This window comes from Homo sapiens, chromosome 15 (genome assembly GCF_000001405.40).
Source record: "Homo sapiens chromosome 15, GRCh38.p14 Primary Assembly".
NCBI lineage: Eukaryota > Metazoa > Chordata > Mammalia > Primates > Hominidae > Homo > Homo sapiens.
Genome location: NC_000015.10, coordinates 23,105,832 through 23,125,942, shown reverse-complemented (window position 1 = coordinate 23,125,942; position 20,111 = coordinate 23,105,832). Strand labels below are relative to the sequence as shown.

The 20,111-nt window shown below is 41.0% G+C and overlaps 1 pseudogene; it reads right to left on the bottom strand.

The window, feature by feature from the left end:
- Positions 1–1,047: 1,047 nt before the first annotated feature.
- On the bottom strand, positions 1,048–2,200 carry LOC101060118 (WAS/WASL-interacting protein family member 3-like; annotated as a pseudogene).
- Between the last annotated feature and the right edge of the window lie 17,911 nt (positions 2,201–20,111).

Here is a 20,111-nt window from a genome sequence, read left to right as displayed (position 1 = left end):
TCTGGACATTGACTGCTTAGGGCTTGGGCATGAGCTGCCTCTTCACCTGAGCCTGAGCCACAGGTACCCTCTGCACCTACCACGCTGATGCACTGGGCCAGGGAGAGCGCCGTCTGGATGGAGATGAGCTGTGAGGAGCTGGTGGCTGGGCGGATCAGGTTGTTGTAACAGGTTTTGTTCAGAAGGTCGTCCATCAGTTTCTGCTCGGCATGGGCCATGCGGCAGTCCCCTGGGTAAACACACAGACATGCTGGGCCCTTGTGCAGCTGTCTCCCACTGCAGCTGACAGCTATGAAGCAGGAGCTGAGAGGGCCAGGGAGCACAGACACCCTGAGAGCTGGCTGAAGCAGTGAAGGGGCTGGCCGGCCTGGCTCTCCCTGGGGACTTCAAATGACATTCACGACAGAGCTCAGCTACCTCCTCCCCATGCCATACCTCTTCCTCCTCCTCCTCCCTCCGTCAATGAACAGCATCCCACGCTCTACACATCTGATACAAAACTGGGTGTCTCTTCCTGACTCCTCCCTTGGTTCACCCAAGTGGCCACCAAGTCCTGTCTGTCCTCCCATCTCCACGGCTACAGCCATGTCCCTGCCTCCCCTGCCCTGCCCACCTTCTATTCTCTCCACCTGCACTCTGCCCCTGCCATCCATGTGCCATACAGTGGCAGACTGATCTTTCTACAGCAAACTGGACGAGGGCCCTTCCCTACCCACAGCTCTCAGAGCTGGAGGTGGAGTTGAAGCTCATGTTTTGGCTTGGCATTCAGAGCTCTTTCCCCCTCAGCACTGGCTTATCCAGAGTGCTCACAGTGCAGGGCAGGAGCCTCGTGACTCAAATGTGGGTTTGGTGCAGAACTGGGTCTGAGGTGGTGCTTTCCCTGTGAAGAGACAGGGCCGACATGGGGGAATTTTCTGGGTTCAAAGTTAGACCTAGAGAGTGCAAAGTTTCTCTGAGGCACCAAATGGAGGGGTCCAGCTAGCAGCTGGCTCCTGGTCTGGAGCTTCAAGGAGAGGTCTCAGCTCAGAGCCACATTCAATAGCCAGCTTACATGTGGCCTCCTGCAGGGAGCCCCTGGAGCTTCCACAGCCTCCGTTCTGCCCCTCTGCATACCCCAGATCTCCTGCTAAGTGGCGTTTGGGTCTTCATGTCATCTCCCTCCCATGTCTGGGAGTAAAGGTGAGGTGCAGGGACTTGCGCTTGTGTACTCTGGTGTCTTAAGGGAGAGTGTGTCAAGTAGAGTGGAGGCGGCTTGGAAAGAGGGAGACTCAGAGGAGAGTGAAGGACACATGACCAGGCGAGCCTGGGAGCAGGAAAAGAGAGTGAGCAGAGGCAACTGCTGGGTCAGGGGAGCGGATGGGAGGATCAGGGAATGCGGGGGGGCTGGAGAGGTAGGGGTGGGGACGTTGGCGAGGGGCTGCCTGGCTCGCCAGGCTCAGGAGTCAGTTACATCCTCCCACAAGGGCCAGCTCACCTGGTCGCCCCAAAGACCTCCCTCTGTGGGTGGGATCAGAGGGCCAAGAGCACGGATAACCCAATTGAGCAGGACTGAGGCGGACTCAGGTGGGTGCTGGGCCGGACTCCTGGCTGTGGGGAGCAGCCGCCACCCTGCCTATTGCATCCACTTTCCAACTCGCTGCCTATCTGAGCAGATGCGATATTGGGCACCTTGTGAAACATGCTCCTGGTGCACCTGCTGCCTGCTGCCCCTCCTGCAGAGTGCCCGGGCTCTCCAGAGGGGATTCCTATGGAGGCTTGGCCTAGATTCTGAGTCCTGCCTCTCATACCTGGGGCTGCTACCCCAGAGGCCAGCTGCTTGAGTACCCCGGAAGCCAGCCTGTAGCCCCAGGCTACAGCTGGGTCCATCCCACAGCCCTTCTCTAATGTACCTATTTGGACTGGCTGCTCATTTCATAGAGAGGGGTGTGTCTTGCCCCAGACCATCTGGCATGTCTAAGGCAGCTGTGGGGTCAGAATCTGCAGCTCCCAGCCCTCAGCCCAGCAATAGTAGGAAAGGCTGGACCCCACATCTCTGAAGTCCCGCTGGGTTGGTGCGAGCGGGCTCCCGAGTACAGGGCTGCTCTGCAGGCTGTGGGGCTCATGCGCCAGCTCTGAGCCCACCTGATGTGCTCACGTTGCTCACCTTTGGGCCTGTCCGGCCTCTCAGGCATTCGGCTGACCCTGAGGGCCTCTCCCTCATCTTGACCACCAGCTACGGGCTCTGATTTCTCAGGGATCTAGAACTACAAATACCATTTGACCCAGCCATCCCATTACTGGGTATATACCCAAAGGATTATAAATCGTGCTGCTATAAAGACACATGCACACGTATGTTTATTGCGGCACTATTCACAATAGCAAAGACTTGGACCCAATCCAAATGTCCAACAATGATAGACTGGATTAAGAAAATGTGGCACACATACACCATGGAATACTATGCAGCCATAAAAAAGGATGAGTTCATGTCCTTTGTAGGGACATGGATGAAGCTGGAAACCACCATTCTCAGCAAACTATCGCAGGGAAAAAAAAAACAAACACCGCATGTTCTCTCTCATAGGTGGGAATTCAACAATGAGAACACATGGACACAGGAAGGGGAACATCACACACCGGGGACTGTTGTGGTGTTGGGGGAGGGGGGAGGGATAGCATTAGGAGATATACCCAATGCTAAATGACCCGTTAATGGGTGCAGCACACCAACATGGCACATGTATACATATGTAACAAACCTGCACGTTGTGCACATGTACCCTAAAACCTAAAGCATAATAATAAAAAATAAAAATATAATAAAAACAAAAGTCCTGTGAACCTCAGATGGTGAGTATAATACTTCAGCACTAGCACAAAAGCCTCAAATATAAAAAGATACCAAGAACACCACTAGCAAACAAAAGTAAGCTCTCAGTCACGAGCAGTAGTTCACACCTGTACTCCCAGCATATTGGCAAGCCAAGGTGGAGTAAGTTAGGAGTTCAAGACCAGCCTGGGCAGCATAGCGAATTCACAGCTCTACAAAAAAAAATTAAACATTAGCTGGGCATGGCGTCACACACCTGTAGTCCTAGCTACTTGGGAGACTGAGGTGGGAAAATCACTTGAGCCCAGAAGTTTGAGGCTGCAGTAGCTATGATCATGCCACTCCACTCCAGTTGGGGTGACAGAGCAAGATCTAGATATTACATTCTGTCCTGCTCCTCTTTCCAGTAAAATCATTAAGTTAAAATGTTTTCATTCAGCAACATAAAAATTAAGTGAAATGTGACTTTGGTGCTTGGCTAGCAAAATATAAATAAATAAAGCGAAATGACAAATTACTTATGAGGAGAAAGTCTTTGTAACCTCAATGACATTAAAGGTTTGTATCCTTAGCCTATAAAGAAAAATTTAAAATTACTCAGAAAAAAAAAATGAATGATTTCCAGCAGAAAATGGGCAGTAGAGAAACCGGCACTTCCCACAAGAATAAAAATAGCCAATGAGCATATGAAAAAGATTCAAAAGCACTAGAAATCAAAGAAATATAATGAAAACAATGAGATTTTCTGCTTAAAGACCAGCGAAGATGACAAATGGAAGGGGGAACCTGGAGCTCTGTCCCTGTTGGTGGGAGTATAAACTCAACCAATTTTCCTATAGGATGATTTGAACATTTCTTTTAAAAATCCTAAAACTGTTTTATATTACTTTCCTCTAGAAATTCTACTTGTATGAATTCAGTGCAAAAATCCTGACTCGAGTTCATTAAAATATATATAGAAGGAAATCCACCTCTGGGGTGGCAATGATTCACTTAACATACATCCAGCTATTGAAAGTGATGATGCCAGGATATATTTCTGCCATAGAAACATGCTTAAAATATAGTAAGTGACAAAAGACCATATATTATGATTCTACTTTTTAAAATGTTTATATGCATAAAAAGTGTAAAAAGCAACAAACCAAAATGTTTTCAGTGGCAAAATTAAAGATTTTTCTTTATATTTTGTCATCTAAATTATTACAAAAAGAGTGATTTCCTTTATAATCGGGGAGAAGTGTTATTTTCATTTATTTATATTTACATTTCTTTTCTTTTTCTTCTTTTTTCTACTCCATGTATTCCATGTAGGCTAGAGAGCTTAAATCCCTGCCTCTTGAGAGAAATCAGCCCATTTTCGGGACATGCAGTACACAAAGCTGCCCCATCTTCCCTTTATTTTTATTTTTATCTTATTTATTTATTTATTTATTTATTTATTTATTTATTTATTTATTTTGAGATGGAGTCTCACTCTGTTACCCAGGCTGGAGTGCAGTGGTGCATCTCAGCTCACTGCAACCTCCATCTCCCGAGATCAAGCGATTCCCCTGCCTCAGCCTCCCAAGTAGCTGGGACTATAGGCATGCACCACCATGCCCAGCTAATTTTTGTATTTTTAGTAGAGAGGAGGTTTTACCATCTTGGACAGCCTGGTCTTGAACTCCCGACCTCAAGTGATCCATCCGCCTTGGCCTCCCAAAGTGCTGGGATTACAGGCATGAGCCACCGTGCCAGGCCTATCATATTATTTCTAAAAATTTCAGTGACATTTCAATTAAGTGAAATTTAATTCTTACTGTCCTGATCTCTTATCCTCTGCTTAATGATATCTTCCAGTTGAAAGGTGTTTCCTCTGTAATCACAGGTGCTAAAGGAAATACAACATGTATTCATTAGGTGGATATCCACTAAACCACGGATTCACGCATTGTAGTCCTTAGACCCTCAGCATCAGAAACACGTGGGAACTTGTTAGACATGCAAATTCCTGGGCCAGCCCCACACCTCCTGAATCAGAAAGTGGGGAAGAAGGACAACTATCTGTGCTTTAATAAGCCTTGAAATGCTCCCTGAAGTTTGAAAACTACAGAACTAGAATACATATGGTAGTAAGTGCTCATACTTTATCCAAGGTACCTACGGACTCTTCCCCTCTTTTCCATTCTGTTTTCCATTGAAATAAAATGAGAGCTCCTTTTGACTTAATGGGTATAAGAAAGAAGGCAATGAGATGACCAGGGTTTCAAGTTAGAGTTCAAAATTTAATCAGTGGACAGTGACAGGATGCAAGCCTTCTAAACAGATTCTGCAAGGAAGCTGATTATAATCTATACAGTAGGTATCATTAGTGTATTGATGTTAAATTTTTGGGGTGGATTAACGGTATTGTGATTATATAGGAGAATGTCCTGGTTCCTAGAAGATATCTGTGAAAGTACTTAACAGTGAAATGCCACGATACTGGTAACTTACTTTGAAATGATTCAGGGGGAAAAAGGGCACATATACAATCTTCCATATGCGGAGGAGAGAAAACAAGTATGACAAAACCTTAATTGGTGAATCCAGTTGAATAGCATACCGATGTTCACTGTATTATTTTATCAACTTTTCTGTGTTTGCAAGTTTTAAAATAAAAAGTTGAGGGAAAAGAAACATCACCCCAAATCTTTCTATGAAATGGAACCATAGAAAAAGCATAGAAATGAACACTCTGCAGAAGAGGGCACCGTACCCATCCGGACAGCATGGTCAAAGCGTAGGCTCTCCTCCAGGAGGCTCTTCTCTGGTCTCTTCTGTGCTGTCACTTCCCCTACATGCAGCCAAGGCTTTTTTCTAACAACTCTTTTTCTAAAGGTGTAATTTTTTTCATTCATCTAAGAAAGAGACAAAACAATTAGTATACATTTAGAAAATAAAATTACACTTATACTTGTGTAAAAGCAAAAAATACTTTGAAAAGTGGGGAAGGAAGAAACGTACTGTTCTATAATTCTGTTCTGTTCTTACCATCTTTTTATTCTGCCAATGACTTCCTATTCCTGCTGCGTATGGTAGGGTGAGCTGCAAATGATTTCTTTTCCTCATTGATTTAAAATGTCATGTTTATAATATACTAAACTCCCCCAGAAGCATTTGGGTTTATTTCTGGGCTCTATTCTATTCAAGTGATCTATCTGTTCAAGTGATCTATCTGTTCACAAGCCACTATCAATTTTGATTATTAGAGCATCGTAAAGTTAAGTTAAATAATAATAATTATTATTATTATTTTGAGATGGAGTCTCTCGCTCTGTTGCCCAGTCTGGAGTGCAGTGGCGTGGTCTCGGCTCACTGCAAGCTCCACCTCCTGGGTTCATGCCATTCTCCTGCCTCGGCCTCCCAAGTAGCTGGGACTACAGGAGCCCGCCACCATGCCCGGCTAATTTTTTGTATTTTTAGTAGAGACAGTGGTTTCACCATGTTAGCCAGGATGGTCTCAATCTCCTGACCTTGTCATCCATCCACCTTGGCCTCCCAAAGTGCTGGGATTACAGGCATGAGCCACTACACTCAGCCAAGTAATTATTTGATTAGGATATTAGTATTTGATGGAGACTGACCCTTTTGACTCTAAACTCAAATTCTTATTATCTCTAACTTCTAAAAGACAGCAATTATGACTTCAGTGTATAAAATGCCAGCTTTTTCAGCTACCTTACAGAATTCTCTTATTTTCCTATATCAATTCAGTTTATCCATTTGGTCTTCTCTCCAAACACTCATGTTTTTATTTTAGTATCCTTAATCTTTTTTTTTTTTTTTGAGACAGAGTCTTGCTCTGTTGCCCAGGCTGGAGTACAGTTGGATGACCTCAGCTCATTGCAACCCCTCTGCCTCCCAGGCTCAAGCAGTCCTCTCACCTCAGACTCCCAAGTAGATGGGATCACAGGTGCATGTAACCACGCCCAGCTAATTTTGTATTTTTTGCAGAGATGAGGTCTCACCATGTTGCCCAGGCTGGTCTCAAACTCCTGAGCTCAAGTGCTGGGAGCTCCTGAACTCCCAAAGTGCTGGGATTACAGGTGTGAACCACTGCTCCCAGCAGTTTTCCTAATCTCTTATCTTTATCACACTATGACCACGTGAGATTACTCCAGGTATGCAAATGCTGTAGAATTTGAAAAACAATTAATGCAATGTATTATAGCAACAGCTACAAAAATCATAATGTCATATTAATTGATAGAGAAAAAGCATTTGACAAAATCCAATACCCATTCATGATGAAAGAAAAAAAAACTCTAAGAAAATTGGAGATAAAGAATAGGAATCAGAGTGACCTTCCTCCACTGATAAAGAACATCTACAAAAAATCTAGAGTTAACATTATCCTTAACATGGAAGCCTAAAAATGCTTTCCCTACAAGGCCAGAAACAAAGCAAGAACATCTGCTCTCACTGCTCTTATTCAACATAGTACTGGAAATTCTAGATACTAAAATAAGGCAATAAAAATAAAGGGCACACAAACAAGAGAGAAAAAAATACAACTGTCCACATTTACAGATGACATGATTGGCTATATAGAAAATCTCCTGGAACCTGCAAAAAAAACAAAAACAAAAACAAAAAACAACAACAACAAAAAACACCTAGAATTGATAAGTGAGTTTAGTAAGGTTGTAGAAGATAAAATCAAGAAACACAAAAATCACATCAGTTAAATGTGGAAACTGAAATTAATGATGCAATACCATTTACAATTGCTCCCCTCCAAAAAGAAATACTAGGTATATACTTAACAAAACATTATGAAATTATAGAATGCTAATGAAAGAAGGTTTTTAAAAAAGCTAAATAAATGGAGGGAGACACCACGTTTAAGGATCAGTAGACCATACAGTAAATATATCAACTATCCCTGTACTGATGCATTAGTTTAATGCAAGCCCAGCAAGGTTTTGGAAAATATGAACAAGCTCATTCCAAAACTTATCTGGAAAAGCATATAGGTCCCAGAACAGCTAAAACAATCTTAACAAAGAAGAATAAAAGGAGAGGACTCACTCTGTCCAATATTAAGCCTTATTATGATCAAGTAGTCTTAATTACAGTAATCAACACAATGTTGTATTGATAAAGGGACAGACACACAGATCAATGGAAAAGTTTAGAGAACCCATAAGTAGCCCCACACATGTATGTCCAAATGATTTTTGACAAGACACAAAAGTAATTCAACGCAGGAAAGATAGCCTTTTCAACAAGTAACACCAGAGCAATTAAATATCCACAGGCAAAAACCAAAACCAAAAGAAAACCTCTAACTAAACCTTATATTTTATATGGAAATTAACTCAAAATGGATCACAAACTTAAATATAAACATATAACCATGGAATACTATGCAGCCATAAAAAATGATGAGTTCATGTCCTCTGTAGGGACATTGATGAAGCTGGAAACCATCATTCTCAGCAAACTATCGCAAGGACAAAAAACCAAACACCACATATTCTCACTCATAGGTAGGAATTCAACAATGAGAACACATGGACACAGGAAGGGGAACATCACACACCGGGGCCTGTTGTGGGGTGGGGGGAGGGGGGAGGGATAGCATTAAGAGATATACCTAATGTTAAATGACAAGTTAATGGGTGCAGCACACCAACATGGCACATGTATACATATGTAACAAACCTGCACGTTGTGCACATGTACCCTAAAACTTAAAGTATAATTTTTAAAAAAGTGTATAACCATAAAAAATATTTTTTAAAACAAGAGAGAAAATCTTTGGACTCTAGACAGGGTTCTTATACTTGACATCAAAAATACAAACCATCAAAGGAAAAACTGATAAAGTGAACCCATTAAAATTCAAAACTTTGGTTCTGTAAAATATCCTGTTAAGAAAAGATGACAAGCTACACACAGAGAGAAAAAATTTGCAAACCATATATCTGACAGTGGGCTCATGTCTAAAATATATAAAGAACTCTCAAAATTCCACTTTTGGCCAGTAGAAGCTCCTTCACATTGGCTCCTGCATTCTTTTTAACATGACCTTAGAAGTCTCTGATAACTTCCTTGCTTTCAGGAAAGACATGTCCCAGCCTCAATTTGTTCATTTCTGGCCTAAATGTAAAGCTGTGCCAGAGACTTGGAACCTATTTATACAACAGACCATGATTTGAGTAGAAAATGGTACTTAGAAATTAAAACTTGAATACTAGCTTCTTAGTGTTATAAACTGAATTCTGTTCCCCTCAAAATTCACATGTTGAAGCCCTAATCCTCAATGTGACTATATTTGAAGATAGGTATGTATTTGGAGATAGGGCTGTATTTGGAGATTTAAGGGGGTAATTAAGGCTAAATGAGGTCATATGGGGGATGTCTAATCCAGAAGACAGCCCTCTATGTAAGCCAAGAAGAAAGACCTCACCAGAAACCAAACCTGCCGGGACCTTGATCTTGGATCTGTAGCCGATGAACTGTGAGAAAATAAATTTATGTTGTTTAAGTTGCCTGATCTGTGGTACTCTCTTATGACAGCCCAAGCAAACTAATACACATAGATAAAACTATGAAATATATAATTTCCTTAAAAAGATGGAAAAATAAATGAGTTTATCCTAACACTTTTGAGTCAAATTAAAGAAGAGAGAATTTTACTTAATTATATTTTTCTAATTGTACATTTAATTTTACACTAATAATATTGGTTATTATTGGAGTTAGCATAATTATTAGTTTCTTCACCATATATATAGAGACCATATACATATAGATATATAGATATATATATAAACACACCAGAGAGACATATATATACCATAGAGGCCACATATATATATACACACACACACATACACCATATATAGAGAGAGCATATATATACACACACACACCATAGAGCATATATATATATATACATGAAATATATAATTTCCTTAAAAAGATAGAAAAATAAATGAGTTTATCCTAACACTTTTGAGTCAAATTAAAGATGAGAGAATTTTACTTAATTATATTTTTATAATTGTACATTTAATTTTACACTAATACTGGTTATTATTGGAATTAGCATGATTATTAGTTTTCTCACCATATATAGAGAGAGACCATATATATATATATAGATATATATACAAACACACCATAGAGACATATATATACCATACAGGCCACATATATATATATACACACACACATACACCATATATAGAGAGAGCATATATATACACACACACCATAGAGAGCATATATACACACACACACAGAAACACACACCATATATATATATATATATATATAAAATAGTTTCAAATGGCAATACATATATTAACACTGACAACCAGAACACTGAATGCAGTTTAAGGTTTCTTAATGGGATTAAAATATATTATATTATGATTAAGATATATTATGATAGAAATATTCTGCCATAATACTGTAATTTAAAAGCATTCGCTTTAAACATCTCTTCTCTGGGGAATCATACCACAAACTTGACACACAGATTGCTTTCAATTTTTAAAGACCACTTTATTTTTATCATTTTTATTTTTAACATTATATAAAACATTTGCCTGGTTCTTAAGTCTAGACCATAAAGCAGGTACATTCAGAGAAGCATAGCTCATTCCTGGCCCTGCACCTTCCTTATTCTGTTTCTAATCCTGTAAACTATCACTCTTTTTAATTTATTTAACTTTCCATTCTGTCTTTTGTAAAATATTAGTAAAGGCACATATCTTCTCTGTTTTCACCCCCTTTCTTAGACAAAAGGTATTAATAGTATGCTATGAATAACTGTTCTACATCTGACTCTTATCAGGAGAATAATGTCTTGTAGATGACTCCATGGCTGTGTACAGACATCTTCCTTGTGCCTTTCCACAACTGTGTAGCCCTCCATTCTGGGGACTGTGATGGTTGGCAGAATGCTAAAGATCCCCCTGCCCCCAAAGCCCCACCATCCTGGCCATTCAAACACCAATCTAGATACTTCCGCTGGTCCCCAACTTACATTAATTCAACTTGCAATTTTATGATATTTTAGTTTGCGATGGTACAAAAACAATATTCAGTAGAAACCATATATGGAATACTCGTACAACCATTCTGGTTTTCACTTTCAGGGTGGTATTCAATAAATTACATGAGATATTCCACACTTTATTATAAAAACAGGCTTTGTGGGCAGGGTGCAGTGGCTCACACCTGTAATCCCAGCACTTTGGGAGGCCAAGGCAGGTGGATCACTTGAGGTCAGGAGTTTGAGATCAGCCTGGCCAACATGGTGAAACCCCATCTCTACTAAAAATACAAACAGTAGTCAGGCATGGCAGCACACACCTGTAATCCCAGCTACTCGGGAAGCTGAGGCAGGAGAATCACTTGAATCTGGGAGACAGAGGCTGCAGTGAGCCAAGATCACGCCACTGCACTCCAGCCTGCACGACAAAGCGAGACTCCATCTCAAAAAAAAAAAAGTTGGCTTTGCATTAGATGATTTTGCCCAACTATAGGCTAATGTAAGTGTTCTGAGCACATGTAAGGTAGGTTGGGCTAAGCTATGATGTTCAGTAGGTTAGAGGTATTAAATGCATTTTTGACATGATATTTTCAACTTACGATGGGTTTACTGAAATGCAACTTCACTGTAAATCAAGGAGCATCTGTATTGGGAAGTGAGTTTGAAGACATAATTAAAGTCCCAATTCCATTAATCTTAAGATAGATTATCCACTTTGGGAGGCCGAGGCGGGCGGATCACGAGGTCAGGAGATTGAGACCATCCTGGCTAAAACGGTGAAACCCCGTCTCTACTAAAAATACAAAAAATTAGCCGGGCGTAGTGGCGGGCGCCTGTAGTCCCAGCTACTTGGGAGGCTGAGGCAGGAGAATGGCGTGAACCCGGGAGGCGGAGCTTGCAGTGAGCCAAGATCCCGCCACTGCACTCCAGCCTGGGCGACAGAGCGAGACTCCGTCTCAAAAAAAAAAAAAAAAAAAAAAAAAAGATAGATTATCTGAGTGAGCCTAAGCTAATCAAGTGAGACATTTAAAACTCATTTTCTCTGACTGATGGCAGAGGAAGGAAGTCAAAGATGTTTGAAGCATGAGGGGAATGAGTCCCTGCTTCTCAGGACATGAGAAGCAATCTTGCTGGCCACCAAGAGAAAGTAAACAGGTATGCAGTAAACTGTCAACGAAGAAAAAGGACAGATTCCTGAAGCTGAGAGTGAACCCCAGCCAAATATCAGCAAGAAAGTGAGGATGTCAAAGACTGCAAGAAAATGAATTCTGTCAAGAATCAGCGAGCTTGGAAGAGAACCTCAAGCCTCAAATGAGAATCTCAGCACCAGCCAACACCTTGACATCAAGTATGTGAGTTGTGAGCAGAGGATTCAGTTATAACAAGCCCAGACTCCTGACCCATGGAAACTGTCAGATTAATAAACAAGCACTGCCTTAAATCACGGAGTCCGTGGTAATTTTCAGCTTCCAAAACACAAAGACAAGGTAACAACATTCATCTGCTTTAGCCATCTTTCCCTTTGCTTCTGCCCTTGTGGTTTCACGTCTTTTAATTCTTTTATTCTCATTTGAGTACAGTATCAGAAAAGAGCATGTTCAACCAGAAGATGACCGCTATGATTTCCTCGACTGGAAATCCTCCTCCATCTGTTCTTTACTCCTCCTAAAATTCTTAGCACTTGGCATGTGAGGTCTCCTGGATCTCCACTCGTACTTTCTTATTGTTTCCTCTCAAGTTTCCATGTCTTTGTCATCAGCTCTGAATGGTTCAATGTGCCCTTTCATACTGCCTTTCAAAGCACCAATGCTATCCCCAGCAGAGGCCATTCTCTTCAGTTTTAGACTTTCAGAAACAAACAAACAAACAAACAAACAAACAAACAAAAAAGCCACTGCCTTCTCCATAGAGTTTTCGATATTTGTTAAAATTCTTTTCTGTCTCTTCCATTTGTTTTGCCTCCATAAGAAATGCCTGATCTGGCCGCGTGTGGCAGCTCATGCCTGTAATCCCAGCACTTTGGGAGGTCAAGGCAGGCGGATCATCAAGGTCAGGAGTTTGAGACCAGCCTGGCCAACATGGTGAAACCCTGTCTCTACTAAAAATACAAAAATTAGCTGGGCGTGGTGGTGAGCAGCTGTAGTCTCAGCTATTCAGGAGGCTGAAGCAGAAGAATCACTCAAACCCAGGAGGCAGAGGTTGCAGTGAGCCGAGATCAGGCCACTGTACTCCAGCCTGGGTCACACAGTGAGACTTGGTCTCAAAAAAAAAAAAAAAAAAAATGCCTGGTGTGCCTGTTCTTTCTCTTTCAAGTACTATGTTTCCCTAACTGGGCTGGGACAAATCTCTGCCTACTGACTTCTTAAGCTACTCAGCACCCAATCAGGACAGGTGTGGCAAAGAAGCAGGTAGTAAGAGGGAGCTGTTCTTTTCAAGGGCAGGAAGGTGATGTGGTCTTTCTCGAACCTTACAGACGGGGACAGATTGGCCCACCATTTCAGTTCTGCTCAAGATCTCCTGGGAATAAGACTGCAAGCCCAAACCACCACATGTAGAAAGCATCTGCATTTTAGACCCTACAGAAGCACCAAGTTCTACTATTCATGCTGAGCTTAGGAACCCAAGGACAGGGGCACCATCTCTGCCACACAGTGCAGGAGAAATGGAGCCTACCTTACCTCCCCAGCAAGGCTAAGGTCATCTGCCAGACCCTCTCTCTACAATCACCCTGCTTGTTGTGTTGCTCCAGAGAGTGAGAAGAGTGGAGGTCAGTGTCAGGGGCATGCCTTCAAACCACCACGTTCCCACCACTGCTCCAGCTTCTAAACATTCATTCAGAGACAAGTCACAGCAATTTCCAGGGAGGAGGGATCACATATGTCATACCCAAGCTCTGAAGGTGTAAGTGGTTTAGTTGCTTCCAGTTAAAGAGTTTCTGAAGTTGAGGTTACGGGTATTTTAGATAACGTCATCAGGGTGGCTCTCAGAAGAAGTAACCCTTGGACAGAGACTTGAATGATCTGAGGAAGCCAGCCATGCAAGCATCTGAAAGAAGAGATCATAGGCACAGGAAACAGCAACCAAGAAAAGCCCTGAGGTGAGCACAACAGGCTTAGTGCATTCAAAAAGCAACAGGCAAGCCATGGGGCTGGAATGGAGTGTGCCCAAAGAAGACAAGGGCTAACACAAGGGCAAGAATTAGACAAGGCAGGACAGGCAGGACATGGTGAGGGGCAGGGGTATTATTTCAGAGTGACTGCATGTTACTGGAGGAGTCCGAGAAGGGAAGAAACAAAAGCTGATTCACGGTATGTAGGTACTCTAAGCTGCTATATAGAAACCAGACTGTGAGTACAAGAAATGATGTAGGAGCATCCATTGAAAAAGTTTTTTACTTGTTCTTTCTCTTTTATTGTTTTATTTTCTCCTTTTTTTTCTCTTTTCTTGCCCTAACTCTATATGGTAGAACTGTTGAGAAACAATATTAGTTGTTCTAGTGAAAAATGACAGTAAATGCAAAGACAGATCAGAGGTAGCGAAGCCAGTGGTGAGGCCATTAAAAATAAATAGACAAGAGTGACTTCCACTTCTGGCCATAATAGACTAACAGAAACAGGATTCGCCCTCCCATCTAAAACAACCAAAAAATAGACAAAATACATGAAACATCAAACTTCAAGACACTGGACAAGGAAAAATAGTGATCCCTAAATGATGAGAAACAAGGAGGTTTGTTAGGAAATTCCACACCCCTCAATTGGAAGTGATTGATCTATAATGTAATGACATCCTGAAACACAGAAATCAAGAGAAGAATCTAATAGAATTCTACAAATGCCTTCCCAGTGACAAATATGCTCAATTAAAATCATATGCTCATGAGTTGATATTGTTATTTGGCAGTATCTACCTGTGTGAAGACATTTTCAAAGACAAAACACATTAAATCACATTAAAAATCAGCACTAAGAGAACATTTGCCATTGATTTAATGATAAAGACACTAACTTTGATGCCCAATTAAGCAAAATGTCATCTCCCCCTTCCCCTGAAAAAATTCTCTTCTCATTAACAGACCTGTATTACAAAAGAAAAATTTCATTCAATTATGATTGGTATATTTTTATGTCAATAAAAAACATGGTCTGGGCATGGTGGCTCATGCCTATAATCCTAGCACTTTAGGAAGCTGAGGCAAGAGAATCACTCAAGCCTAGGAGTTCAAGACCAGCATGGACAACACAGTGAGACCCTGTCTCCATCAAAATATTTTAAAAATTATCTGGGCATGATGATATGCACCTGTAGTGCCAGCTACTCTGGGAGCTGAGGCGAGAGGATCGCTTGAGCCTGGTGTGGGGCTCAAGGCTCCAGTGAGCTGTGATTACACCACTGCACTCCAGCCCGGGCAACAGAGTAAGACCCTGTCTCCAAAAGTACACATGGAAATTTGTGTCCTTGTTTGTTATATAGGAAGGTATATAATAGGCCCAATTTTGCCTCTTGACCTACAAAGCCTACCCTCTCACTGTTACCAGGAAAAAAAAAAAATTGTCAACCCCTAATCTAGATCAATCTCAGCAATACCAGGCTCTGCTCAGTACTCTAGAACAAGTAAAAATCTGGATCTAGAAACAGGCATTAAACCAAATTGCCAGGGCTTCTCTGGGCTTCAATACAGCATGGATGAGATGGTTCAGAAGATGTTAATCAGAAAGCACCAGAACATGAAGAAAACTTGAGGAGCATCTAGAATAGCTCCTCCTTTTAGAGGAAAGAGTTACAAGCCAGGAGAAAGACCTGCCCTTCCTAGGACCAGTCCATAAACTCTTGCCCCCTGCCCTGCTCCTCCTTCTGAGCCTTCAGCTACTTATTCCAGAATCTTACAATAAGCAAAATTACAACCAAACCACTGGTCCAATATTGACTCCCAAAGGTACAAACCAGAACCTTCTCAACACCCTGCTTTGGACTGTTCTCAGATCTAGGGCTGTATTAGCTCATTCTCACACTGCTATGAAGACATATCTGAGACTGGGTAATTTATAAAGGAAAGAGGTTTAATTGATCCACATTGCTGGGGAGGCCTCAGGAAACTTACAATGACGGCAGAAGGTAAAGGAAAAACAGGCACCTTCTTCACAGCCGGCAGGATAGAGTGAATGCCAGCAGGGGAAACGCCAGCTCCTTATAAAAATCAGATGTGGTGAGACTCACTCATAATCACAAGAACAGAATGCGGAAAACCACTCCCATGATCCAATGACCCTCACTTGGTCCCACCCTTGACACATGGGGATTATGGGGATTATAATTCAAAGTGAGATTCAGGTGGGGACAAACAGCCAAATCATATCAAGGACACACCAGGCATTTCTCACCCTGCTACAGTTTCAGAGGTCTTCTCGGGGTCCTCAGTACTTCCAAACTGAGATTACAGAAGAAATATTAAGCCCCTGGAAAAACTCTTAAAAAATATATACCAGATACACAGAAGCCAAAAAATACCCTAAAACTACTAATACAAGAGGCACTAAATTGAAGCTACTGAAGAAAACATCAGAGAAAATCTTACCTTGCTTGGCAATTGAACAGCAACATTTCACGGTTATAAATCAAAATATATAGAAGAACCAGGAAGGCTTTTGCTCTAACGTATGCTGAGAGGCTGTCAAGTAAATGGATAACTGTGGAGACAAAATCTTGTGGAAGACATTTAAAAAATTTTTTGAGAGAACATAAAAAAATAGGGCAGTCTCAATTCTCAGGGTGAACAGCCTATAATAATCAAGCAGATGGCAGGAAGTAAAATAATATCAACTACTGTTTTCGCATTCTCAATTTGTGCCAGATCCCATAACTAAATTTTAATATTATCTCATTTAAATCTGAAAGTCATAAAAAGTTGACAATATTGGCCGGGCATGGTGGCTCACACCTGTAATCCAAGCACTTTGGGAGGCCAAGGCGGGCGGATCATGAGGTCAGGAGATTGAGACCATCCTGGCTAACACAGTGAAACCCCGTCTCTACTAAAAATACAAAAAAATTAGCCAGGCGTGGTGGCACGCGCCTGTGGTCCCAGCTATCGGGAGGCTGAGGCAGAAGAATGGCATGAACCCAGGAGGCAGAGCTTGCAGTGAGCCGAGATTGCGCTACTGAACTCCAGCCTAGGCGACTGAGCAAGACTCCATCTCAAAAAAAAAAAAAAAAAGTTGACAATATTGTCCCCACTTGAAAGAGAAAAATGAATATTGAAAAGTTAAGCAATTACCCAAATTCAGATAATAAGCAATTTACCCAAATTCAGATAAAATTCAACTGGCCTTGTATAAAATCCACGCCAGTTGAATGACAAAGCCTGCCTGTTCACTACTCAATCACACAACTGGAAATGTGGCAGCAAATAATACAACTGTCAGTCACAACTGCATGTAGATATAAATCTCTGAGAAGAGCTGCATACAGAGAGATCATATCTCTGGTCTACACATCTGAGGGCTTAACAGAAAATGAAGACAATACTCAATACATGACACAAAGAAACATATACTCCTATACCACTCTTCAATTAAAGGTATAATTCAACACAGAGGACTAAGTATTGACAAGGAATACTGCTACTTTCCCTTTTAAAAAACAGACTATAAATAATTTATATCAATATGCAAACAGAAAACAGACACACATGCACACACATGGTTAATGAATGTAAATAGTCAGAAATATGGAATCATAATATCAGCAAGGTGACTACAGAGAACAGGAATATATAAGTTCCCAAGAGAGCTTAACAGAGGCCAGCACCTAACAGTAACACTGTGTGTCCAAGATAGATTTAAGAAGCTCGATTTTTTTTGGCCACACTCCAATCCTTTTCTATTCACTGGTATGTTTCCAGGTAGGAAGAATTTACATAGTCATGTATATGCCATGTAAACTCTATACTACTTAAGGATACAAACATATCTAAGCATCAGTCTCACCTAGTTCCTGAACCAAATTATCAAAGCCAAATTATTCATCTCGGGTAAAAAACAAATCAATGCAGTCATCCTTGAGTAGAAGATCTGTTTTCTACCTTTCCAGCAACAGACAGTAGAAAATCCATCTCCCCAGATGCATTCCTGATTCTAATTTATACTCTGTGGTCTAAGGACCACAATCACAAGTCTGTTTCCCATATCAACACCACCCCCAACATATACACACATAATTCCAAAGCCATTCAAATTTCCAGCAATCATAGACTGAAAAACTCTTCCAGATTATATGAGATTAAAAAGACATGATAACTGACTTCAATTCAAGATCTGGAAGTTCTGTTCCCCATAAAGAACACTATTGGGACAACTGGCAAAATCTGAATAAGGTCTGTAGATTAGCTAACAACACTGAATGTTAATTTCTTGATTTTGACAATCACGGCTTGTTTCAAGGAAACATTCAGTGAAGTAATTAGATTTAGAAAAGCATCATGTCCACAAACTTCTCAAATGGGTCAGAAAACATACACACACTCACACACATGTGCACACAAAGTGAAAGAGATAAAGACAGAGAGACAGATAAATCATAAAGTAAACATAGTAGAATGTTAACATTTGGTGAATGTGGGCAAAGGATCTATTGCAATCATTTACACTGTATGTCCAAAATTACACTCAGTGCCTACTCTAAACATGATACTCCTACTCTGAGGATCAGTCTACTAGCCAAACTCAGAAGCCTGGGTACCATCCTTGACCCTTCTTTCCTTTGTCCCATGCCCAATTAACCCCAAGCTCTGTGAAAATGACACCCCCACTATGGCTGTCTTATTTCTATGTACTATTATATCTTTCCTGAATTACTACAACAGGCTTTACCTAATTTTCCTTTATTCCATCTATTCTACAAATTTTAGCCACAGTGGATCCTCTATAAGAGCAAATATAACTCACCTATAAAATATTCTCAATAGTTACACTACCATTAAAAAGAAGCTAAAACTCGTGGCATATGAGGTTCTTCATGGTCTGGCTTTTCGTTATCTTTCCAAAATCATGTATCATACCATCAACTCCACTGAATACCCTCAACACTCACCATGAGGAAATAAAAAAAGGAAATTGAGAATATTGAAAAAAGGAAAGTGGCAAAGGGAATCCCAGGATGATTCCAAGGTGACAGCCTTCACCAGACAGAGAGCAGCCCATCTGTGTGGAAGCTGGTCAGAGACCCCCAGAGAGAACTCAGGAGAAAAAACTGACAGACTATCTGAAGCACCTGAGTGTAATTTGAAACACAAAGTGATGTAAACAAAGAAAGGTCCACTAGATATTGATCCACACAAAATTAACAGACCGAGTACATATGCATGTTGGAGCCTATCTCATGTCCTACTTCAAAATAAACACCAAACAAATCTAAGATTTAAGATCTAGAATAGGCCATGGCAGGTAGGAATACAAACATATATACGTACATATATACATATTTCAATCTCAGACTGGGGAAAATGTTCATAAATAATTTATCAGAAAGAACAAAATAAGCGTGAGAAATGTAAATACAAAAAACATTAAATGCCACATAGAAATAAAACACTATATAGAAAAACACATAAACTAGAGAATGTATTTGCAGCACATTTTTTGAATAAAGTGGTGATTCTCTTGATATATAAATATCAATAACTAAGAAAAGAACTAAAGAACTAAGAAAGTAAGAGTTCTAGAAACAACTGAAACCTCTGATCTCTTCCATATGGAATATCACATTAACCAAGGATAATTTAAAGTATTTCAAAAAATACAGAAAATAGGAGGCAAGTTTCATATAAAGCTATCCATACAAACCTATTTCATATATAAAGACAACAAAAAAGGAAAATCAAAAACATTTCAGCTGATAAAAACTTTTTTTGGAGACCGAGTCTCACTCTGTGCCCAGGCTAGAGTACAGTGGTGCAATCTCGCCTTACTGCAACCTCCGCTTCCTGGGTTCAAGCAATTATCCTGCTTCAGCCTCTCAAGTAACTGGGACTACAGGCTCGTGCCACCATGCCCGGCTAGTTTTTTGTATTTTTAGTAGAGATGGATTTTTACCGTGTTAGCCAGGATGGTCTCGATCTCCTGACCTCGTGATCTGCCCGCCTTGGCCTCCCAAAGTGCTGGGATTACAGGTGTGAGCCACCATGCCGGGTTGAAATGCTCTGATTTTACCTGCTATGGTCTGAATGTTTTTGCTTGCCCCCAATCATATGTTAAATTTAATCTCCAA